Consider the following 25,100-nt stretch of genomic DNA (forward strand, 5'->3'; position numbering starts at 1 on the left):
GTTCGAGACCAGCCTGGCCAACATGGTGAAACCCCGTCTCTACTGAATATACAAAAATCAGCTGGGTGTGGTGGCGGGTGCCTGTAATCCCAGCTACTCAGGAGGCTGAGGCAGGAGAATTGCTTGAACCCAGGAGGCAGAGGTTGCGGTGAGCCGAGATCACACCATTGCACTCCAGCCTGGGCAACAAGAGCAAAACTCCATCTCAAAAAATAAAAAATAGAAAAACAAGTGCTGTAGCGGAAGTGAGCACTTTGCGGAGTCAGGCTTGTGTGGCCTGTTCCACAAATGATGTGCTCACGGCGGCCTCAGGCCCACCTGGAGTCTGCAGCATGGGGCACAACAGGTTCATTAGTGTAGAATTCCAGGACAGGCCTGGCTCCTAAGCAGCCTTCTTTTACAAAAACTGCAGAGCCCGCTTGTATCCTAGCACTTTGGGAGGCCGAAGTGGGTGGATCACGAGGTCAGGAGTTCAAGACCAGCCTGGCCAACATGGTGAAACCCCATCTCTACTAAATATACGAAAATTAGCTGGGTGTGGTGGCACGCGCCTGTAGTCCCAGCTACTCGGGAGGCTGAGGCAGAATTGCTTGAACCTGGGAGGTGGAGGTTGCAGGGATCTGAGACCATGTCATTGCACTCCAGCCTGGGCAACAGAGCGAGACGCCATCTCAAAAAAAAAAAACCTACAGAGCCACACGGCCTCTTTCTCCACCGAGTGTTGGTGTGGGAGCTTGTGTTATTGTGGTGAAATCTTGGTACTTTCTTGAGGCAGAGAGAGGCTGAGCGCCTGGAGAGACTTTCACATGGGTCGCCATGTCCGCCGTCGGTTTCGCTGTTGTGCTCCCCATCTGAAGGCTGGTGCCGTCCAGACAGGCTGGACGCCCCTTTCCACCAGATCCTTCCTCCCGCAGCAGTTTCTAGTTACGTTGTACTGTGAGGTCTGTGTCCTTGGTTGATGGCAAAAGTCAGCCGAATTGAAATTCAGAGCCATGCCTGGCTCCCTGGAGCTTCTCTCCTGGGCAGCTGTGATCATTGCCTCTGCTGTGGTGTGGGTGGTGGAAATGGATTCCTTTCATCTTGCTTGCTACAGGTGACTGTCACGTGGAGTCCTTTGGAGAGAGGGACGTGTTAATTGATGGATGTGGCTCCCATGCTGAGAAAGCTCCTGGGCGTACATTGCCTTAGAGTTTCACTGGAGCTGCGTTCTTTTATGGTGTCTGCTAGGCAGAAGTGATGAAGACTTGGAAGAAAACCCAGAAGGTTTTCCACTTAATTTGGAAAATGTGCTTTTCCCCTCCTGTGTCTTTTGCTAAGGTCCAGCCTCCTGCAGCCTCCCCGCTCTGTGGACTCTGGCTTTGATTCTTTATTAGGAGTCCCCCTGCTCCCCCAAAAGATGGTGTCTAAATTATCATCCAATTGGCCGAGGTTTTGTTTTCTATTAATTGTTTTTATTTTTTATTGTGGTAAATATATATAACATAAAATTTGCCATTTTAATTGTTTTGTTATTGTTGTTTTTGAGACAGGGTCTCACCCCAGTGCCCAGGCTGGAGTGCAGTGGTGCGATCATGGCTCACTGCAGCCTCAGCCTCCAGGGCTCCAGTGATCCTCTCACCTCAGCCTCTCTAGTAGCCGGGACTACAGGCATACACTACCACATCTGGCTGATTTTTTGTATTTTTTTTTTATTGTAGAGACCCGCTATGTTGCCCAGGCTGGTCTCAACTCCTGGACTCAAGCCATCCTCCCACCTCACCCTCCCAAAGTGCTGGGATTACAGGCATGAGCCACAACACCCAGCCATTTTAATTTTTTTTTTTTTTTTTGAGATGGAGTCTCACTCTATCGCCCAGGCTGGAGTGCAGTGGCGTGGTATCAACTCACTGCAACCTCTGCCTCCCAGGTTCAAGCGACTCTCCTGCCTCAGCCTCCTCCCGAGTAGCTGGGATTACAGGTGCCCATCACTATGCCTGGCTAATTTTTGTATTTTTTAGCAGAGACGGGGTTTCACCATGTTGGCCAGGCTGGTCTTGAACTCCTAACCTGGTGATCCGCCCGCCTCGGCCTCCCAAAATGCTGAGATTACAGGTGTGAGCCACCGTGCCCGGCCTTTTTTTGTTTTTGAGACAGGGTCTTGCCCTGTCACCCAGACTGGAGTGCAATGGTGGGCTCTTGGCTCACTGCAGCCTCCGCCTCCCAGGCTCAAGTTGTGCACCTCCACACCTGGCTAACTGTATTTTATGTAGAGACAGATTTCACCATGTTGCCCAGGCTGGGCTTGAAATGGACTCAAGCAGTCCACCCACCTCAGCCTCCCAAAGTGCTGAGATTACAGGCGCGAGCCACCGCACCCAGCCCATTTTACCTATTCTGCAGTTGACAGTTCAGTGGCATTCAGTCAGTTCACGAGGTAACCATCACTGCCATTCATCTCCAGACTACTTCACCTTCTCGGCAGATGTCCGAAACTGTCCGCATTGAACACACTCCTCATCTCCCTCTGACAGCCACCATTCTACTTTGTATCTCTCTCTGCCTTCTCTAGGTACCTCATGTAAGTGGAATTATACCAATATTTGCCCTTGTGTGACTGGCTTCTTTCATGTGACATGGTGTCCTCAAGGTTCATCTGTGTTATAGCCTGTGTCAGAATTTCCTTCCTTAAAGCCTGAATAATAACCCGTTGTAAAGGCTGGGCGCGGTGGCTCACACCCTCTAATCCCAGCATTTTGGGAGTCCGAGGTGGGCAGATCACTTGAGGTCAGGAGTTTGAGACCAGCCTGGCCAACATAGTGAAACCCTGGCTCTACTAAAAGTACAAAATTAGCTGGGTGTGGTGGCGCGCACCTGTAATCCCAGTTACTCAGGAGGCTGAGGCAGGAGAATCGCTTGTACCCGGGAGGCAGAGGTTGCAGTGAACCAAGATTGTGCCTCTGCAGTCCAGCCTGGGTAACAGAGTGAGACTTCCTGTCTCAAAAAAAAAAAAAATCATCGGATGGATGGACGGACCACTTCTTGTTATTTATCCATCCACGGGTGCTAGGTTTCTTCCACCTTTGGTTGTCGTGAATAAGGCCACTATGAACATTTCCTTCCGTGGTGAAGGTTTTGTACTAGTGAGGAAAAGGCGTGTTTGTGGTGTTGCATAGGATTCTGGTAAGAAAGTTTGCACTAACCATAAGTATTTGTACTACATTAAAATGAAAGCTCAGGGGCCGGGCGCGGTGGCTCACGCCTGTAATCCCAGCACTTTGGGAGGCCAGGGCGGGCGGATCATGAGGTCAGGAGATCAAGACCATCCTGGCCAACATGGTGAAACCCCGTCTCTACTAAAAATACCAAAAAACTAGCCAGGTGTGGTGGCGGGCACCTGTAGTCCCAGCTACTTGGGAGGCTGAGGCAGGAGAATGGCGTGAACCCGGGAGGCGGAGCTTGCGGTGAGCCGAGATCGCTTCACTGCACTCGAGCCTGGGCAACAGAGCAAGACTCCGTCTCACGCAAAACTCTGTCTCACGCAAGACTCCGTCTCAAAAAAAAAAAGAGTTCAGGGTTTATGAAACTGGCCAGCCGCGTAAAGTTTGCTGTGTTGTTTTTGTGCCCGGGAGGAGTGTGGCCAGGGTGTCACGTCACACAGTACACGTTTCTCAGATGGTGGTTCTCCAGACTGCTGTCCCAAAGTCTGTTTTTGCATCTGGTTCCCACAGACCCACCCTCCACGGTGAGCCTGATTTTGGCCAGGGTAGCTGGAATCTTGCTTGTCTTTCAGCCCGGCAGCTGTACCAGTCCAGGGTCCACAGCTAGTGGCTTTTAGGAAGGAATTTGTTCAGTTGGCTTTGACACATGGCCCCCTAGGGTCCACAGCTCTGTAGTGATGTGGATGTTGTTATCTACAAAGACACATGATCCTTCGTGTCCAGATGAAAGTGATGATGTCTTTGCAGCTGCCCAGCAAGGCTGTGTGTGTGTGTGTGTGTGTGTGTGTGTGTGTGTGTGGTGTGTGTGTGGTGTGTGTGTGTGTATGGGGGAGGGAGGCACCCTTTCCATCTGGGGGTGTGTGTGTGTGGGGTGTGTGTGTGTGTGTGCGCGTGTGTGTGGTGTGTGGTGTGTGTGTGTGTATGGGGGAGGCACCCTTTCCATCTGGGTCCAAGAGACTGGGCCTGGGGAAGACGCTTCTTTTTATCTACTTAGAGACTTTGTTTTATTTGTATTTTTTTGAGACAGGGTCTCACTCTGTCACCCAGGCTGGGGTATGGTGATATGAGCATAGCTCACTGCAGCCTCGGCCTCCCAGGCTGAAGCGATCCTCCCACCTCAGCCTTCTGAATAGCTGGGACTGTAGGCGTGCGTCACCATACTGAGCTATTGTTTTTTTTGTTTGGTTGGTTTAATTTTTTTTGATACAGATGGAGTCTTGCTATGTTGCCCAGACTAGTCTCAAACTCCTGAACTCAAGTGATTCTCCCACCTCAGTTTCCCGACATTCTGGGATCACAGGTGTGAGCCACTGCTGTCTCCCTGTTTTATTAACTGCTGAAAGACCTAGATAAAGAAAGTCTGAAAAGACTTACTATCAGAGCACCATCCTAAGATGATTCCCTCTGACTCAATGGAGAGGGAGGGGAGCTTTTCCTTCAGGCCTGGGTGGCAGGAGCCCAGGTGCTCCAGGCCCCATTTGCCCCAGGCCAAATCACTCGGGAACTTGGATGCAGCTGTCTTTCAGGGTAACCCAAAGGAACCAGATCCCCGCAGGCAGTAGGCTTCTGGGCTGTCCTCTCCTCCTACGTCAGCTCAGTAAGAGCCCTTCGAAGGGATGCTGTGTCGGAGGCCCCAAAAGCCCAGGCTCATCCCTGAGATGCACAGGGTGGGCTGGGCTTAGGCAGCGCTCGAGCATCTCCTGGACGGTGACCCCAGAGAGTGTGGAGACGGAGAGTCCTTGAGAGTCACTGAGAGACGTGGCTGCCCTGCCTTCCCAAGAGGGGCTCTGAGTCATTCCCCACACTCACCTGCCCCTACCCACCCTCACCTGGCCCCCAGCCTCACCTACCCCCACATCTGTACCGATCCCTTTACCCGCACCTTCCCTACCCACCCTCACCTCCCCTGTACCTTCACCTCCCCCACTCACCCGCCCCTGCACCCTCACCTGTCCCCCACCTTCACCTAACCCCCACCCTCACCTGCCCTCCCCTCACCTGGCCTCCTTCCGTTGGGGAAGGGGTTGTAAGGGGCGGCCCCCAAACTGTCTGTCCTGGTGCCCTGCAGAGAAAACAGTACGTGAGGGCCGCAGTCCAAAAGCTTGAGTCCTGGAAGGTGGAGGAGACAGGGATGTGTTGGGAAGGGCCCCATGGTCTTGGATCCCTTCTCGACTGTCAATGGGGCCTTCATGGGAGCGCCAGTCTAGTGATGCACAGCTGGGTGCCCGGCGGGTGGCTGAGGAGGCCTAAAGTCCGAGGCGGCAAGAGCTCTTCCAGAGGCTGTTGTCCTAATCGCTCTGGCATACTCAGGCGGGCACGTAGTTAGGAGCTGATTGGAGAGGAGAGACCCCCACACCAATACTGGGATTTGACTTTCAGGCTAAACTTGAGAAGTGTGGCCTCTGCTGTCCTGCCAGAGCTCTCCAGCCAGTGCCCAGGGCTCTCCAGCCAGTGCCCGGGGGTCTCCACCAGTGCCCGGGGGTCTCCGCCAGTGCCAGGGGTCTCCGCCAGTGCCCAGGGGTCTCCGCCAGTGCTCAGGAGTCTTGGTTTCTTTGTCTTACAGCCCTTTGTTTTGACCTCTCTGAGCCAAGGCCAAAACCCAGACAGGCAGCCCCACGACCTCAGCATCGACATCTACAGCCGGACACTGTTCTGGACGTGCGAGGCCACCAATACCATCAACGTCCACAGGCTGAGCGGGGAAGCCATGGGGGTGGTGCTGCGTGGGGACCGCGACAAGCCCAGGGCCATCGTCGTCAACGCGGAGCGAGGGTAGGAGGCCAACGGGTGGGTGGGGGTGCTGCCCGTCCAGGCGTGCCCGCCGTGTCTTCTGCCGAATGCCAGCCTCTCACAGGCTGGGGAGACTTTCCACCCTGGGGATCCAATGGGTGGCTTTCCAGGGTCCCAAAAGCAAACACAGGCTCTTTCACAGCCCCTCCAGGAAAGCAGAAAGCCCCAAGGGCTGGAAGGGAAGGGGGAGCTCTGCTGAGAGGTTACAAGGCAGCGCTGGCCGACGGGAGTTGCAGTTGATAGGTTTTGTATCATCCTTGTTAAACTTGAACCCTGTGCAGAAATCCCTTCCACGGCATGGGGGCTGCCTGTTGACTCGCTCCTGTTCCACCACAGGGAGCTCCTGGGCTTCTTCCTCCCAGAGGCCCCCGACGCTCCCACCTGTTGGTCGTCAGAGCTTCTGGTTGGTGGGAAGGCACCCAGGACCTTGAGGTCTCCAGAGAGAAAAGCCAGGGAAAGAGGGAGACCGAAACCCATGTGACATGAAACTCAGGCTCCAAACTGAGCACGGGAACGTTTGGGGACAGGAGCGCGATGGCCTTCCTCAGATAGCTGGGGGGCTGGCATGAAGACGGGAGCTACAGCCAGCACAGGTCCTGGGCCGGGAGCCCAGAGATTGAGCCCTGACTCTGTCACTTACTGGCCACGTGACCTTGGGCGGGTGGCATAGCCTCTTGGAGACTCAGTTTCCTCATTGGTAGGAGTGACGGCCACAGTGGTGCGGCCTCTGCAGCACACGGGGGGCTCGGTGGGCGGAAGCCCCGGGTCTATAAGGCGGCTGTGCAGGAGCCAGCCGAGCTGGTCTCCCAACAGCCAGGGCTCCGGGGTCCTTAGCAGCTGTGGGGGGCCTGCACCTGTTTCCCATGGCTGCTGTCAGAAATTACCAGAAGCCAGGTGGCTGAGAGTAATGGACACTTGTTCTCTCACAGTTCCTGAGGGCTGAAGCCCGAGATCGAGGTGTGGGCAGGGCCCTGCGCCCTCTGAAGGCTCTGAGGGAACCTTTGGGCTTCTGGTGGCTCCAGGCACCCCTTGACTTGTGGTCCTGTCACTCCAGTCTCTCTGTCTGGCTGCACATGGCGTGGCCTCTTCTGTACCATTGAAGGACACTTCAGTTGGATTTAGGGCCTACCCTCACCCATTGTGGTCGTATCTTGATCCTTCATGACATTTGTAAAGACCCTGCTTCCAAATAAGCTCACATTCTGAGGTTCTGGGGTGAGCGGGAATTTGGAGAGCATTGTTCAACTAGTATAGAATGTGACCTGTCAGCCTCGGGCAGCCCTGAGAGGCAGGGGCTTTCCACAGCCCAGCTGGGTGCCCTGGGCTCCGTGCTGTCCGAGGAGACGCCATCCCCACACCCGTCCTTCACCCGCCACCCTCCCGCAGGTACCTGTACTTCACCAACATGCAGGACCGGGCAGCCAAGATCGAACGCGCAGCCCTGGACGGCACCGAGCGCGAGGTCCTCTTCACCACCGGCCTCATCCGCCCTGTGGCCCTGGTGGTGGACAACACACTGGGCAAGCTGTTCTGGGTGGACGCGGACCTGAAGCGCATTGAGAGCTGTGACCTGTCAGGTACGCGCCCCGGGGCCTGCCCTAACCGCAGACACCCGGCCTTCATTGTCAGTAATGGCAGCAGCTGCCACATTGTCCGAGACCTGCCGTGAGCCCAGTGCCGCGCCAGGGGCTTTGTGTGTAGCGTGTTTTGTCCTCACACTGACAGCTGTAGGCTGGGGTTCTGAGTGAGCCCCACAGGGCAGAGGCAGAAAATGAGTCTCAGAGAGGGTGAGCGAGCTGCTTGGGGCCCCACAGCAGGAGATGGAGCAGGACTGCAGCCTAGCCTCTGCCCCCAGCACCTGCGCAAGAAGCTGCTCTGCTCTGGACTGTGTTAGGCTGCGAGGGCTGGAGAGAAATGAGAGTTGGTGCTTAGAGAGGGGGCGCAGGTCCCCATGGCTTTTCCTCTTATGATGAGGTAGATGGGTGAAGGGAGGGGCCATGCTTGCAGGGGCCAGTGACCGAGGCCCGCCGTTGGAACTGATGGCCTTCATCCCGAGCCCAGCCCAGGTGGGAGCAGGGCTTTCCGAGGGCTTGTCTTGGGTCGGCCTGCTTCCAGGGACTCTGCTGCAGCTCCCACCCCTGTCCAAAGCATGGAATCCCCCAGGCTCCCTGGCAGTCCTGTCAACCTCTGTCCTCCCAAGCTGAGTGTGGGGCAAGTTCTGGAGGTCAGCACTGCTCAGGGGGGCCCACGGGCTGCTTGCAGGGGCCAACCGCCTGACCCTGGAGGACGCCAACATCGTGCAGCCTCTGGGCCTGACCATCCTTGGCAAGCATCTCTACTGGATCGACCGCCAGCAGCAGATGATCGAGCGTGTGGAGAAGACCACCGGGGACAAGCGGACTCGCATCCAGGGCCGTGTCGCCCACCTCACTGGCATCCATGCAGTGGAGGAAGTCAGCCTGGAGGAGTTCTGTACGTGGGGGCTGGCAGTGGGGTGGGCAGGGTGGCCTCTAAACCCGACCCCTGGAGGAGGCTGGAGGCCAGTGCAAGATCCTGTGTGGCCTCAGCCAGGCGGTGGTCTCTGCCAGATGCCAACTGTTGCCCGCTGGGGTTCAGCGACATGTCCGAATGTCCCGAGGCCTCTGAGGTTGTTTTCTTTTGCCGCAGAACAAATCACCACGAACAGCGTTTTAAGACAACACCAACTCTTTTTTTTTTTTTTTTTTTGAGTCAGGATCTTGCTCTGTTGCCCAGGCTGGGGTGCCCTGGTGCAAACACAGTTCACTGCAGCCTCGACCTCTGGGCTTAATTAAGTGAACACCTTGCCTCAGCCTCCCAGGTAGCTGGGACTACAGGTGGGCACCACCACACCTGGCTAATTTTTTTTTGTAGAGACGGGGTTTCCCCATGTTGCCCAGGCTGGTCTGCAACTCCTGGGCACAAGCTATCTGCCTGCTGTGGCCTCCCAAAGTGCTAGGATTATAGGTGTGAGCCACTGGCCTGACAACACCCACGGATTGTCTCTCAGTTCTGTAAGGCAAAGTCCAGGCACAGCGTGGCTCACCTGGGTTCTCTGCTCAGGGTCTCACGGGGCCAGAATCAAGGTGTCAGGAACGCTGGGCCCTCAGCGGAGGCTCTGTGGAGAAATTAGCTTCCTTGCTCACTCAGCAGGTAGCAGTTGTGGGATCGAGGTTCTGTTTTCTCTCTGGTTATTGGTCGGGGACCACTCTCAGCTCCTAGAGGCCACCACAGGTCCTTGCCCCGTGGCCCTCTCTGCCTCAGCAGTGGGGGCTCCCTGCGTCAGTCCCTCCCACACCTTGAGTCTCTCTGATTTGCTTCTAAAGGGCCCTGTGATTCGGCTCAGCCACCTTTAGATTAGGTTAGCCTCCCCTTTGATAGACTCCAAGTCGGCTGATTAATAACCTTAATCACATCTGCAGAATCCCTTCTGCCACATAAGGTCATGACGCCGTGCTGGGGACTGGGGTGGGAAATTACGGGGTCATTTAGGATTCTGCCTGCCACTGCCTTGCTGTGTCCCAGGGCTTGGGGGAGGGGCCTCCACAGCTGGGACCACAGTCCTTCCTCCCCTCCATGGTAACCATCTGAGGATTACTTGAGACCAGCCTGGGCAACATGGTGAGAACCCATCCCTACAAAAAATACAAACAAAAAGGGACCAGGCTGGGCTTGGTGGCTCATGCCTATAATCCCAGCACTTTGGGAGACCAAGGTGGGCTGATCACTTGAGGTTGGGAGTTCGAGACCAGCCTGCCCAACATAGTGAAATCCCGTCTCTACTAAAAATACAAAAATTAGCTGGGTGTGGTGGCAGGCGCCTGTATTCCCAGCTACTGGGGAGGCTGAGGTGGGAGAATTACTTGAACCTGGGAGGCGGAAGTTGCAGTGAGCCAAAATTACGCCACTGCACTCCAGCCTAGGCAATAGAGTGAGACTCCGTCTCAAAAAAAAAAAAGGGCCAGGGGTGGTAGTGACAAAGAGACCCTATCCCAAAAAAACCGAACACTGAATCCTTGAGACTGAGTAAGGACACTGTGAAATTTTTCTGGGTGGGGCAGGGAACAGAGCGTCTTCTGTCATTTCTTCCACCTGGGTGTGGTCAGCTCTCCCTCCAAGCTGCCTCCTCTTCTTCTCATTGTCCGGGTGTTGGACACATTTGGTTAACTGGATAGAATAACGCGAGTTCCCAGGGACTTGGTCCATTTGCTATTTTATTTTATTTTATTTTATTTTATTTTTTTTATTTATTTATTTATTTATTTATTTATTTATTGAGATGGAGTTTCGTTTTTGTCGCCCAGGCTGGAGTGCAGTGGCGCGATCTCGGTTCACTGCAACCTCTGCCTCCCAGGTTCAAGTGATTCTCCTACCTCAGCCTTCCAAGTAACTGGGATTACAGGCACCCACCACCATACCAGGCTAATTTTTTTGTATTTTTAGTAGAGACGGGTTTTCGCCATTTTGCCCAGGCTGGTCTTCAACTCCTAGCCTCAGGTGATCCACGCACCTCGGCCTCCCAAAGTGCTGGGATTACAGGCATGAGCCACCACGCCTGGCACCATTTGCTATTTTAATTCCCATGTGTATTAGTGTCCCACGGCTGCTGTAACAAATGACCACAAACTGGATGGCTTAAAGCAACAGAAATGGATTCCCCCAATGTGCTGGAGACCAGAAGCCTGCGACCAAACTGTTGGGAGGGCTGTGCTTCCTCTGGGGGCTCCAGGGAGGATCTATTTGTTGGCCCTTCCAGTGCTGTGGGTGCCAGCGTTCCACACTTGTGGATGCGCCGCCTCAACCTCTGCCCATCTTCATGTGTCCATCTCCTTTGTGTCTGCGTCTTTACCTCTTCTTCTTGTCTGTGTTGCCTCTTATAAGGACGTTTGTCATTGGGTTTAGGGCCCACCCAAATCATCCGAGATGACCTCGTCTTGAGATCCTTAACCTGCAAAGACCCTTTTTCCAAAAAAAGGTTATGCTCACAGATTCTAGGCCTTAAGACATGGGTGTATCTTTCTGGGGGGCACTATCCAACCCCTTATACAATGAAAGACGGGAAGAGGGCCAGGTGTGGTAGTTCACGCCTGTAATCTCAGCACTTTAGGAAGCTGAAGCGGGAGGATCACTTGAGCCCAGGAGTTTACAAGTAGCTAGGCAACATGATGAGACCCCATTTCTACAAAAAGTGAAAAAAAAAAAAAAAAAAAAAAATTAGCCAGGCACAGTGGCAGGTGCCTATTGTCCCAGCTACTTGGGAGGCTAAGGCAGGAGAATGGCATGAACCCGGGAGGTGGAGTTTGCAGTGAGCCGAGATCATGCCACTGCGCTCCAGCCTGGGCGATAGAGCAAGACTCTGTCTCAAAAAAAAAAGCCAGGCATGGTGGTGCATGCCTGTAGTCCCAGCTACTCAAGAGGCTGAGGCAGGAGGGTTGTTCGACCCACGGAGATCAAGGCTACAGTGAGCCATGATCGCACCACTGCCCTCCAGCCTGGGTGACAGAGTGTGACCCTGTCTCAAAGTAAGTAAATAGGAGGAGAGACAAGTGGGCAGTTCAGACTGATGGTATGGGCACAGTAGAGACTGGTGCAGACAGGCTGGCCTGTGATGTCAAGCAACTTCTGTAATTGTTTCCGGCATCCATTTGTGTGTCAATTTCCGTGTCAGTAGGAAGACTCTGTAGGCTGCCAAGAGGAATAAGTGGGAGGATCCTCCCAGAGAGGCCGGGCCTGCAGGAGGGCCAGTTCTCATGAGTTCTCATTTGGCCCCTACCCTCCAGGCTGTGGTTCTGAGGTGGGAGACAGAGCCTGACCTCTGTTTGTCTTGTTTTGTCTTTGCAGCAGCCCACCCATGTGCCCGTGACAATGGTGGCTGCTCCCACATCTGTATTGCCAAGGGTGATGGGACACCACGGTGCTCATGCCCAGTCCACCTCGTGCTCCTGCAGAACCTGCTGACCTGTGGAGGTAGGTGTGACCTAGGTGCTCCTTTGGGGTGATGGACAGGTACCTGATTCTCTGCCTGCTAGGCTGCTGCCTGGCATCCTTTTAAAATCACAGTCCCTGTGGCATCCAGTTTCCAAAGCTGATTGTGTCTTCCTTTGCCCTCCTTTCTTTTCTACTATGTGCATTCGGTGCTATGAATTTTCCTCTAAGTACTGCGTTTCCTGCATCTCACAAATTTTGTTACATTTTCATTTTCAGGTAGTTTGAATATTTTTACACTTCTCCTGAGATGACATCTTTGGCTCATGTGTTATTTAGAAGTGTTGCTTAGTTTCTAAAGAGTTGGGGCTTTTCCAGCTGTCTCTCTGCAACTGATTTCTAATTTAATTCTACTGTAGTCTGAGAGCTTATTTTATATGATTTCTGTTATTTTAAATGTGTTGGGTGTGGTGTTTTTGTTGTTATTGTTTTTGTGTCTTTTTGTTTTGTTTTGCTTCGTTTGTTTTGTTTTTGAGACAGTGTCTTGCTCTGTCACTCAGGCTGGAGTGCAATGGCGCGATCTCAGCTCACCGCAACCTCTGCCTCCCGGGTTCAAGTGATCCTCTTGCCTCAGCCTCCTGAGTAGCTGGGATTACAGGTGCACGCCACCATACCCAGCTAATTTTTGTATTTTTAGTAGAGACGGGGTTTCACCATGTTGGTCAGGCTGGTCTCGAACTCCTGACCTCGTGATCCGCCCACCTCGGCCTCCCAAAGTGCTGGGATTATAGGCGTGAGCCACTGTGCCTGGCCATTAGGTGTGTTTTATCACCCAGCATCATGCAGTTTATCTTGGTGAATGTTCTGTGTACTCTTGAAAAGAATGTGGATTCTGCTGTTGTTGGGTGGAGTGTTCCAGAAACATCAATTAGATCCAGTTGGTTAATAGTGCTCATCAGGTTGTCTCTATCCTTCCTTCCTGACTGCCTGCTTGAGCTGTCAGTTATTGACAGGGGTGTGGAGTCTCCAACTCTAATGGTGGATTTGTTTATTTCTCCTAGTAGTTCTATCTTTTTCTCTCCTTCTACCCTTGATCCTCTTCTCCCCCTAGGGCTTCCTGGTGTTAGTGGTGGGAGAGTGGGGTAGTGAAGAACCTGGACTTTAGGGCCAAAGAGGCCAGGGTTCAAATCCTGGCTCTGTCACTTCCCAGTTGAGTGACCCTGGCTGGTGCCTGAATCTCTGTGAGCCTCCACTTCCTCCTCTGTGAAATTGAGAGCACTTACCTGGCAGGCTGTCATGGGCATCAAGTAACAGGGCACTCCACCTGGACCCTGACACGTGATGCACAGGAATGCCAGCTGCTATGCCATGGGTGTGGCAGTAGTAATAAAGTGACCATCTGTATCCTCACCACAGTGAAGCCTGTCCAGGGCTTTCTCTCCTATGCCCCCATGCCTCCAGGTGGCCTTGGATCCTGTTGGTTCTGTGCTCTGCTCAGCGACCTTTCTCCCGTGGGAGTTCCTGGGGGTTCAGCTTCATCCTACAGACAGCAGCACACACTGGCTGTGCACCCTTTTTTTTTTTTTTTTTTTTTTTTTGAGATGGAGTCTCGCTTTTTTCGCGCAGGCTGAAGTGCAGTGGTGTGATCTTGGCTCACTGCAACCTCTACCTCCTGGGTTCAAGTGATTTTCCTGCCTCACCCTCCCAAGTAGCTGGGATTACAGGCTCCCACCACCACGCCCGGCTAATTTTTGTATTTTCAGTAGAGATGGTGTTTCACCATGTTGGCCAGGATGGTCTTGAACTCCTGACCTCAGGTGATCCGCCCACCTCAGCCTCCCAAAGTGCAGGGATTACAGGCGTGAGCCACCACACCCGGAGTGCCGGTTGTTTTTAGCAGTTTGTCTTGTTCCTGGAGAGACTGGCTCCTGCCCAGGAGCTCGGGGAGTAGGGCCGCGGGGTGCTGCCTCACACCTCGAGTTTGGCCGTAAGCAGAGGGGACATTTTGTGACTGTCCCCCTCCTGAGCTTCCCAGCAGCTTTTCTCCAAGTTACAGCCCAAAAGCTCAGGTGGATTTGCAACCCAACGGTGTCTGTGCACCTCCCACTGATGCCCGAACTGCCCTGGCCAAGAAACGGGGCCGTCAGAACGCTGCACTAACTGCAGCCTTGGGCCTCCATGCCAGAGGCCATGCCCTTCCATCCACCACCCCCTGGCCTGGGCCCTGGCCCTCCTGGCTCGGGAACTCCAGGCCCCTTCCTCACGGCTCGAGAGACGTGTATTTACCGCACAGGTGCTTGTCATTCTCTTGTGGCCTCTTCTCCAGGGAGATCACAGAAGGACAGGGCCTCACTGAGGTCTCGGACATGGACCCTTTGATAGTGGCAGGAGCCAGGCTGGGCAAGAGGCGGCCACAGTCACCTCAGCAGTGCCATCACCACCGCCATTCAGCCCTTCCCTGAGCCGGGCGCGCCCCTGGCTCTGGCCCCAGTGTCCCAGTTACAGCTCACAGGAGCTTGTGGTGCCCAGCGGCTGCTTCTGATTGAGAGTCGAGGTCGGAGGCTTTGGGAGGCTGAGAGGCTGCTCGGTTTCACAACTGCTGAGGGAGACTTGGGCTCCATCTCAGGTCTGCCCCATGTCGCCCTCAACCTCCAGCCACCGGTCCTCCGTGTCCCCCATGGCCAGGCACGGCTTGCAGACATCTGTCGTTGGCTCCTCTCAGCCGTCGTGGGCTGACCCTGGCACGTCCTCCTGTGGCTGAGCCCAGTGGGGACAGCTGCTTCCTTTTATTACCCTAGAACTCTCGTCTTTGATCAGGCCCCCTCCCCTATGCCACACAGTCCCTGTCACTCGGGTGAGCCCAGTAGTCATGGGGAAGGCCTGCGGGTTCCAAACATCCAAAGGCTTGCGTGCAGCATGACAGCTTGAAACCGATGTTTTTTACCTTGATCAGATTTCAGCTTGGCGGGGGCTTTGCTCAGCTTTCAGTGAGGCCTGGGCCGATTTCCCAGCATCCCCTCCTGAGGCCAGCCTCTGTTTCCTGTGATTTTCTGCACAAAGTGGGAGGGAGGAGTCCTAGGAAATGGGGGGCCACCTCGAAGCCTAGGCCTCCTCTGGCTTCTCTGTGCCAGTGCCCCCACGCTTTGTGTCTGTGTCCCCAGCCCATGGGACTCTGCTATTCCCTGAGTGCTGCCGCATGCCCAGCCCGCACTGAGGACGTGGAGCCCCGAGGGGCAGGATGGCCTCCATGGTCACACGTAGGAAGTGGCCTCCACCCTCCGATGATCCTCTCCCTCCTCCCTTTCAGCGCCCTCCCCGGGGGTGTCCTCAGCCCTCCTGCCTGTGCTTTGTCCCGTCTTCTGCAGGCGCCTGGGACGTGCTGACAGGTCCTCTGCCGGCTCCTGCCTTGCTATGCGCACGCTGGTCACCACAGAGGCCTGGCCCTTCTTCTGTAGCAGTCCCACACCCGCAACAGGTGTGGCTGCTGACCACCTGCTTTCTGCCCCTCTGGTCCTGAGGAGGGCGCAGTGGGCACTCAGGCGTGGCTGAGCAGATGTGTGTTGCCGGGAGGAGGAAGGACTGCTCCAGTCAGGGCTGAATTTCCCACCCGGAGCATTTCTGCTGTATTTGGTGTAGCGCCTGCTGCTTAAAGCTCTGATTCCCAGTTGGCACCCTTTCCCTTCTGCATTGAAAAACATACGGATGCATGTCTTCTTGCAGTGAATGTGTATTCTCCCAGCCTCTCTTCTGGGTTGGGGCTGGAGGTGGAGCGGCACACAGGAGCCGCAGCGATGGAGGATGTGCGGGTGCAGCACCCCGTACAGCAGGGATGCCAAACCCGCGCTGAGTCCCTCTCAACTTCTGCTTTGAAGCCCAGTCACGCCATTGCCTGGGTTTTGCTGGGCGGGGCTGCGTGTGATGTTCTCCTCTGTCCCTCCCCCAGAGCCGCCCACCTGCTCCCCGGACCAGTTTGCATGTGCCACAGGGGAGATCGACTGTATCCCCGGGGCCTGGCGCTGTGACGGCTTTCCCGAGTGCGATGACCAGAGCGACGAGGAGGGCTGCCCCGTGTGCTCCGCCGCCCAGTTCCCCTGCGCGCGGGGTCAGTGTGTGGACCTGCGCCTGCGCTGCGACGGCGAGGCAGACTGTCAGGACCGCTCAGACGAGGCGGACTGTGACGGTGAGGCCCTCCCCGTCAAGGCTCTGCCAAGACCCTGGCCCTGCCCTCCGGGATACGAGCTTGGGGCTGCCTCCGGCCTCACAGGAGTAGGGGCTCTGAAAACCTTTGCTTGCAGGGAGATTGCCAAGTCTGTCTTTTAGGCCCAACAAGGAAAACTCTGCAGTTCCACCCATCCTGTCCCACCAGGTAGTGTGGCTTGAAGGCAGACTGTGAGGGTCTATCTCACCTTCCTGCATTAGGTCAGGAGTTTCACAGAAACCTGAGGCACATTCAGGGGTGGGCTGCAGAGGTCCATGGCTCACACCCTGGAAAATCCGCCCCCAAAAGACAGTGCTGTCTCCACTGACCAGTCTGTGGGATAGTGCTTAAGCCTGAGTGGTTTCTATCAACATGTAGAATCAGGAGGTATAAAGAGATTTGCTCAGGCATCCTGGGCCCTCTCTGACCAGCAGGATCTTCCTTTAGATCTTGACAGTGAAACACATCTCTTCTGTGCCCCCTGTGAGTTTTCTTTCATTCATTCATTCATTCATTCATTCATTCATTCATTCATTCATTCGAGACAGAGTCTTGCTCTGTCACCCAGGCTGGAGTGCCCTGGTGTAATCTCGGCTCACTGCAACCTCTGCCTCCAGGGTTCAATCGATTCTCCTGCCTCAGCCTCCCGAGTAGCTGGGATGACAGGTGCGCACCACCATGCCTGGCTAATTTTTGTATTTTTAGTAGAGACAGGGTTTCACCATGTTGGCCAGGCTGGTCTCGAACTCCTGACCTCAGGTGATCCGCCCGCCTCAGCCTCCCAAAGTGCTGGGATTACAGGCATGAGCCACCGCGCCCGGCCTGAGTTTTCCTTTTATGAAGGACCTGCTTGGTTGGTTGCCTGCCACATGTTGTCAGCACCATGGGCCCAGGACTGCTGAGGAGCTGTTGATGCCCTCGCTCTCCCAGAGCCACCGGCTCTGTTAGATAATTCACATGCAGTCTGGCCACTGTCCTACGTCCTCATTCACAAAGAGCAGACATTTCGTAGAAGATGAGGGCCTGGGAGTAACCTCCCTGCATGTTTTTCTATAAAGGCATAGTGGTTAAGTCCTTCCAGCTCATTGACCATTGGAGAATTTTATGGAGGCTGTAGACTAGGGGCTGGTAAACTAAGGGCCCAGGGGCCAAATCCAGCCTGCCACCTACTTTTGTAAATAAAGTTTTCTTGGTGCACAGCCATGCCCATTCATTCATTTGCACAATGTCTGTGGCTGCTTTCATGCCAAAAGCAAGAGAACTGAGTGGTTATGCTGGAGACCTACGGCCTTCAAAGCCCCAGACCTCACGTCTGGCCCTTGACAGACAGAGCTTCCCCAGCCCTGCTGCGCATCCTGGCCCAGCATGTGCTGTGTGTGTGATTTCAGCTTGCAGGAGCCGTGGTTAGGAATTGTCCCTGTGTTGGTCCATTTTGCATTGCTATGAAGGAGCACCTGAGGCCGGGTAGATTATGAAGGAAAGAGGTCTGTCTGGCTCATGGTTCTGTAGGCAGCACCAGTATGGCACCCGCATCTGCTCAGCTTCTAGTGAGGTCTCAGGAAGCTTTGACTCATGGTGAAAGTCGAAGCGGGAGCAGGTGCATCACATGGTGAGAGAGGGAGCAACGGAGAGAGAGAGAGAGCGCCTCTCCCTCTTGCCCTCACCTTGAGAGGAGATGCCAGGCTCCTTTAAGTAACCAGCTCCCATGTGAACTCACAGTGAGAGCCCATTTGCTACTGCGGAGAGGGCACCAGGCATCTGCTCCCATGACCCAAACACTGCCCACCAGGCCCTACCTCCAACCTTGGGGTCATATTTTATTCTGTTCTATGCTATGCTATGCTATGCCATGCCATGCCATGCCATGCTATTCCTATTCTATTATTTGAGACAGAATCTCGCTCTGTTGCCCAGGCTGGAGTGCAGTGGCATGATCTTGGCTCACTGCAACCTCCACCTCCCAGGTTCAAGCGATTCTCCTGTATCAGCCTCCCGAGTAGCTGGGATTACAGGCACACACCACCACACCCGGCTAATTTTTGTATTTTCAATAGAGATGGGGTTTCACCATGTTGGCCAGGCTGGTCTCAAACTCCTGGCCTCAAGTGATCCACCTACCTCGGCCTCCCAAAGTGCCATGATTACAGATGTGAGTCACTGCGCCCAGTGAGGGTCACATTTCCGTTGAGATTTGGAGGGGCAGACGTTGGAGCCATCTGAGCCCCCTCGTCCCGCTCTAGCTTCTCCTCCCGTGTGCCCCGCGGTGCTGGTGGCAGGCCCTTACGCCGGTTCTGGCTGCATGCTCTGTTCCAGAAGCTTTCTTCCCTGCTTGGTTACCAGAAAATCATCCCATCCATTACAAGGACAGGGTCCCCTTATCTCCCATTCCCAGGGCAGGACACCGGGGGCAGGGCAGGTGGGGAACTGAGCAAGTTCTCTGGGGGCAGGCGTGGCTATGGCTCCCTCTGGGTGGGCGTCTGGGGAGGGGTGGAGGCAGCCGTCAGCGCCCTGGCTTGCTCTTCCTCCCTGGCCAGAGACTGTGGCCTTGTGCTGCTCCCGTGTGGGCTGCCTGCACCTCCAGTGGGTTGTGCTCCCTCCCCTCCCCTCCCCTCAAGCTCTGCTGAGCACCACTGCCTTCCACAGCCCCCACTCTCGGGAGGCGAGGCTCCTCGTGGCCATTCCTGTCCTTGGCACCCACCCCCCCACCAACCTGGTAGAGCCTTGGGCGGGGTCTGTTACTCCTTGCATGGCGTAGACCTCCCCACAGTAGGCACCTGACACATACCTCCTGGGGGGCAGGCAGGAGGTGCGTTGAGGTCTCAGCCCTGGCAGTCCCTCCCCTGCGTGGCATAGGCCTCGCCACAGGGTCATCGAGGGTGGGTGGAGACTGTACTAGACCACTCCCCGCTGGTCCTAGAAAGGGTCCCATCTGTCTGCTCTCTGTTTGGAGTCCAGACCTTGGTTGCTGTGCCCTGCATGGTGGGCTGGGGGGCACCCTCCAGCCTCTCTGAGTGCATGGCCTCTCCTTGCAGCCATCTGCCTGCCCAACCAGTTCCGGTGTGCGAGCGGCCAGTGTGTCCTCATCAAACAGCAGTGCGACTCCTTCCCCGACTGTATCGACGGCTCCGACGAGCTCATGTGTGGTGAGCCAGCTTCTGGCACGGGGAAGGGGCGTCCGGGCTGGGTTCCCCCAGGAACGTGGAGTTTAGGGGAGGAGACGTGCCTTTCCAGCGGGGCTGGGGGCTGTGTGGGAGACTCAGGCGGCTGGGAGGCTCCTTGCGGGAGGCAGGGAAGCCTTTCCCAGGGCAGCGGCCAGGAGGACAGACTGTGAGCTGTGGGCTCGGCGGCTACAGAGTCTGCCTCAGTGGGCGGGGCTGATGGTGTCCAGGTGCCTGCAGCACGCACCCACCCACGGGACCTTGCTGAGCAGCGTCTGTCAGGCAGCAAGATTACCCGAGGGCTGCAGTGGTCCTGTTCCCTGGCAGCTTACTGTCTGGCTGAGGAGGAGTGATGTTCACATATGCACACATGTCATGTGCACACACATGTACATGACAACATCCCACATGCTCCTCAAATAGCATGACCTGTACAGTCACGGATATAGGGCCTAGGGGATAGGAGGCCAAGACAGTCAGGGAAGACTTTCCAGAGGCAGTGGCTCCTGAAAGGCTGTCTGATTCAGGCAGGAAGGGAGCTGAGTTCAGATAGGAAGTAGCAATGAGTCATTGTGTCTGGGGACATGGCCACTCCTTCGCTGCAGAGGGACCTGGGCTGAGAGCTCCTCTCTTATGGCTGCAGTCGGGAGAGAAGTCTGTTGGGGGGAGAAGGGGGCTTCCTCAAGGGACTCCCTGTGCCCTTTGGCACCTTCGTGCCAGGTCAGGCTTGAGGCCTGAAGGCAGTGGTGGGGGCCACCAAGGGTCGCCTCCTCTGCTGGGCAAGTTCCCAGTCTGACGGGCCTGTGCCGTGGGCCCCAGCTGTGGGGGCGCTGTTGATGCGCAGCCAGGCCTCGCCGCCAGAGCCCGCACGCTTCCATTCCGCTGACTTCATCGACGCCCTCAGGATCGCTGGGCCGGCCCTGTGGGAGAGTGAATGTGGCTTTTGCCAAAGTTGAGTCTGGAGCCTGGAAACTTCCCTATGGGCAGCCTTGATAGTGGAGTGGCCCAAGGAGCCCACCCAGCCGACCCTGCCCCTCCCGTGGCTGGTGGGCGGCACCAGGGGCTGCCTGGCTTTGCTCGTTCACCAACATCACCTGGGCTGGCCAGGGCGCGCTCACTTCTGCCACCACCGAGGGCCCTGGGCGAAGGAGTGAATACCAGGCTGCCTTGGCAGGGATGTGTTGAGGGCTGTGGGGAGTCGGACAGCGGCGGGGGTCAGAGGAGGAGGAGGGTGCACCGTGCAGGCTGAAGGGCCACGTTACCCTGAGGTTGGCCAGGCTCCCCAGGCCTAGCCTCCCAGCTCCCCCACTTTCTCCCCACCCTCCACCAGTGGCAAAGCCAGCCCCTTCAGGGCGCACGGTGTCTGCCCCCAAGGAGGGCCCATTCCGTTGGGGTTAATGTTGGCCACCTCTTTCTGTTTGTCTCTGGCAGAAATCACCAAGCCGCCCTCAGACGACAGCCCGGCCCACAGCAGTGCCATCGGGCCCGTCATTGGCATCATCCTCTCTCTCTTCGTCATGGGTGGTGTCTATTTTGTGTGCCAGCGCGTGGTGTGCCAGCGCTATGCGGGGGCCAACGGGCCCTTCCCGCACGAGTATGTCAGCGGGACCCCGCACGTGCCCCTCAATTTCATAGCCCCGGGCGGTTCCCAGCATGGCCCCTTCACAGGTAAGGAGCCTGAGATATGGAATGATCTGGAGGAGGCAGGAGAGTAGTCTGGGCAGCTTTGGGGAGTGGAGCAGGGATGTGCTACCCCAGGCCCTCTTGCACATGTGGCAGACATTGCTAATCGATCACAGCATTCAGCCTTTCCCACTGAGCCTGTGCTTGGCATCAGAATCCTTCAACACAGAGGCCTGCATGGCTGTAGCAACCCACCCTTTGGCACTGTAGGTGTGGAGAAAGCTCCTTGGACTTGACCTTCATATTCTAGTAGGACATGTGCTGTGTTGTCCACAAATCCTCATGTACCCTAGAAATGAATGTGGGGGCGGCTGGGCTCTCTCCAGAGCTGAAGGAATCACTCTGTACCATACAGCAGCTTTGTCTTGAGTGCAGCTGGGATTTGTGGCTGAGCAGTTACAATTCCTACGTGGCCCAGGCACCAGGAACGCAGGCTGTGTTTGTAGATGGCTGGGCAGCCGCACCGCAGAGCTGCACCATGCTGGTTTGTATCACATGGGTGACCATGGTATGTCTAAGAAGGTGGAGTCCCTGTGAGGTCTGCAGGTGCCCCCACAGCTCCAGGCCACCTTGAGGATTGCCTCTGCCTGCCCAGCCCTGAGTTCCCTCTCCCCTGTCCTGTCCCACTGTCACCCCAAGCCGGCCTCATTGGGAGCCTGTTGGATGGCAGGGTATAGATGTAACCTGATTCTCTCTGGGGAGCGGGGTTATCTGGCTTCTCAAGAGCTCCTAGGAGCCCACAGTGGTGGCACCATCACAGTCGCAGCAGCCCCCAGAGAACGCGGCCCTGTCTGTTCCTGGCGTGCTCTGTGCTGCCCCGCCTGGGTTCCCTGCCCCAGTCGCAGGCCCCTTGGAGGAGGTACCATGTGTCTCCCGTTTCACAGATGAGCCCCGGGGAGCTCACTCTAGTAGTGGCCAGAGAGGCCTGCGGCTCAGGGAGCGGGGCACATTTCCAACAGGACACACCGCCCTGGTCTGAGTCTCGTGGGTAGTGGGAGCAGAGGAGAGCGCCCTATGTCTGTGGGGCGGCTTGGCTGAGCCTGGAAGCCACCTGACCTCCCCCGTCCCTTCCCTGCCAGGCATCGCATGCGGAAAGTCCATGATGAGCTCCGTGAGCCTGATGGGGGGCCGGGGCGGGGTGCCCCTCTACGACCGGAACCACGTCACAGGGGCCTCGTCCAGCAGCTCGTCCAGCACGAAGGCCACGCTGTACCCGCCGGTGAGGGGCGGGGCCGGGGAGGGGCGGGGCGGGATGGGGCTGTGGGCCCCTCCCACCGTCAGTGCTGGCCACCGGAGGCTTCCCGGGTTCCTGGGGGCTGTGCCACCGCCTCTGAGGCATGCTTGCTTTCTTCCCTTTTCAAACCCTTCTGCTTCCTTCTTTAATGACATTGTTGATTGTGGATAATCTGAAAACTACACAAAAATATAAAGAGCCAAAATCTCACCCAAATCCACCTCCTAGAGTGGCTGTTGGGCTCCGTCAGCATCCAGGCGGCCGTCTGTGTTCCGCACGGCCCAGCCCATCGATAGCCGCCTGCACCAGGCCTGTCTGCCCTCTGTGAGCCTCCCCACAGGGTTCCCTCCACAAACACCCTGTTCTCCCACCCAGGGCTGGCTGCTTCCTGGAAAACAGCTGGATGGTTTTGTGCATGACAGACAAACACAGGGTGATTTTCGTGGCTAAAATACTCCCTGGAGCTTTTGGCAGGGTGAGGGGCTGGCTCCAGCTGAGCCACGCCTTGAGTGAAATGACTGTGAGGAGAATAAACTGCCGCTGCCCTCCAGGATCACTGGGGCTGGCTGGGGAGAACCCCCGTTTCTGGGAGCACAGTCCCAGGATGCCAAGGCGAGCTTGGTGCCGAGATGTGAACTCCTGAGTGTAAACAGCGGGGGCTGACTTGACATGCTTTGTATGCTTTTCATTTGTTCCTGCAGCTGTATGCCCCTAAGGTGAGTCCAGCCCCCTTCTGCTTCCTCTGGGGCCTCGCCAGTGAGCCCCACCTTGCTGGGGCTGGTTCCTCCTGCCCTTCTGGGTATCCCTCACATCTGGGGTCTTGTCTTCTTGTTTTCTTTTTCTTTTTTTTTTGAGACGGAGTTTCACTTTTGTTGCCCAGGCTTCAGTGCAATGGTGTGATCTCTAGGCTCACCGCAACCTCTGCCTCCCAGGTTCAAGCAGTTCCCCTGCCTCAGCCTCCCTAGTAGCTGGGATTACAGGCATGTGCCACCACGCCCAGCTAATTTTGTATTTTTAGTAGAGATGGGGTTTCTCCATGTTGGTCAGGCTGATCTTGAACTCCCTACCTCAGGTGATCCGCCCACCTTGGCCTCCCAAAGTGCTGGGATTACAGGCGTGAGCCACCGCACCTGGCCTTTTTCTTTTCTTTTCTTTTCTTTTTTCTGAGACAGGGTCTCGCTCTGTCACCCAGGCTGGAGTGCAATGGTGTCATCATGGCTAACTGCAGCCTCTACCTTCTAGGCTCAAGCAATCCTCCCATCTCAGCCCCTAAGTAGCTAGGACTGCACGCATGCATCCCCATGCCCAGCTAATATTTACATTTTTTGTAGAGATGAAGTTTCACTATATTGCCCAGGCTGGTCTCCAACTCCTGGACTCGAGCGATCCTCCTGCCTCGGCCTCCCCAGGTGCTGGGATTACAGGCGTGAGCCACCGTGCCTGGCCTGGGGTATTGTCTTCTTATGGCACCTGACTGTGGTGGGCCCTGGGAAGGAAGTAGCAGAAGAGGGTTCTTCTTGGTTTCCTGGACAGTAACTGAGTGTTCTGGAGGCCCCAGGGCCTGGCTTTGTTTAGGGACAAAGGGAACTGGTAACCAGAAGCCGAGAGTTTAAACACCCACTGCCCTTCTTCCCTGCTCCTGCTGCTGCAACCCAGCTTAACCAGCCAGGAGTGCTAGGAACCCAAGCAGGGCCCCCGAGCACACAGCAGGCAGCTCACGAATTCTCTTTTCCTGTTCTCCCTTGGGAGCTGGGAGGATCTTAATCAGGCAATAAGAGATGGCACTGAGCAGCCAGCTAATTTTTTAAATCACTTTATTGTTTAACCATATGACTCACCCACTTAAAAAAGGGTACAGTTCAGTGGGTTTTAGTGTATTCACAGATGTGTGCAACCCTCACCACAGTTAATTTTAGAACATTTTCCTGCCCCTAAAAGAAACTCTGCATGAAGCCAGCTGTTTTTAAATTAGCAAAGTTATTTTGCATCCTTTAAATATATGTTCATGGTACAAAATTCAAAAGATACAGAAGAGTCTGCAGTCCAAAGAGACTCCGCCCCCATGACGCCAAGCAGGACTCCCTGGGAGGCATGGCCTCCTGCAGTGTGTTTCTTCTATGTCCCCCCAGGGGTCATCTGTACATATGCAAGCATACAAGAGCGTGGACTTTGTTTTCCAAGCCAGAAGATAATTGTAGATTTATGTGCAGTTGTGAGAAAGAGCACAGACCCATTTATCCTCTGCCTGGTTTCCCCCAGTGCTGCCTGCCATCTTGCATGACTTCCATTCCTATCATAAGCAAGACACTGATAACGATTCTTTCACCTTATTCAGATTGACATAAGTGTTTTTTGTTTGTTCTTGAGACAAACTTCCTCTGTCACCCAGTGGGAGTGCAGTGGCACAATCACAGCTCACTGCAGCCTCAAACTCCTGGGCTCAAGCGATTCTCCTGCCTCAGTCCCCTCAAGTAGCTCAGATGGCAGGTGTGCACCATCATGCCAGGCTAATTTTTAAATTTTTTGTGGAGGTGAGGCCTCACTAAATTTCCTGGGCTAGTCTTGAACTCCTGAGCTAAAGTGATCCTCCTGCCTCAGCCTCCCAAAGTGGTAGGATTACAGGCATGAGCCACTGCGCCTGGGCTGACATATGTGTTTTCGTAAGCCCGAAAGATAGCATCTGAAGAGTCAACATTGAGCCTTGCCTTTTGCTGCTAACGATGTATAAAAGCTGCTGTTCTGAGCATTTCGGAGGCTCCCAGCTGCCGTGTGCACCCTGCCTAGAGCTCTACCGTAACCCATCTCCGGGAGGAGGTGCTATTGTTTTCCTCATTTTGCAACAAGGAGGCTGAAGAACTGAGCATGAACCACTGGCCTGGGTCGTTCGGTTGGTAGGC

General features: G+C 55.5%; 1 protein-coding gene across 11 annotated transcripts in view, besides 1 other annotated feature; it reads left to right on the top strand.

Annotated features, from left to right (window-relative positions):
- LRP5 (LDL receptor related protein 5) overlaps positions 1-25,100 on the top strand; it is a 150,864-nt gene that overhangs the window by 119,317 nt on the left and 6,447 nt on the right. For all 11 annotated transcript variants that reach the window (XM_011545031.2, XM_011545029.2, XM_011545030.2 and 8 more), the window contains 8 exons: positions 5,761-5,969; positions 7,374-7,564; positions 8,250-8,459; positions 11,847-11,972; positions 15,874-16,110; positions 19,161-19,271; positions 20,718-20,954; positions 22,049-22,188. In XM_011545031.2, coding sequence (XP_011543333.1) covers positions 5,761-5,969; positions 7,374-7,564; positions 8,250-8,459; positions 11,847-11,972; positions 15,874-16,110; positions 19,161-19,271; positions 20,718-20,954; positions 22,049-22,188 — 1,461 coding nt within the window. The remainder of the gene's footprint in view (positions 1-5,760; positions 5,970-7,373; positions 7,565-8,249; positions 8,460-11,846; positions 11,973-15,873; positions 16,111-19,160; positions 19,272-20,717; positions 20,955-22,048; positions 22,189-25,100) is intronic.
- Positions 471-1,394: an enhancer, noted in NCBI's record as "NANOG-H3K4me1 hESC enhancer chr11:68185667-68186590 (GRCh37/hg19 assembly coordinates)". NCBI's record gives its function as "activates a minimal SCP1, AML or CMV promoter by ChIP-STARR-seq in naive H9 embryonic stem cells {active_cell/tissue: H9 hESC(naive)}" and the evidence as "EXISTENCE:reporter gene assay evidence [ECO:0000049][PMID:30033119]".

This window comes from Homo sapiens, chromosome 11 (assembly GCF_000001405.40).
Source record: "Homo sapiens chromosome 11, GRCh38.p14 Primary Assembly".
Taxonomy (NCBI): domain Eukaryota; kingdom Metazoa; phylum Chordata; class Mammalia; order Primates; family Hominidae; genus Homo; species Homo sapiens.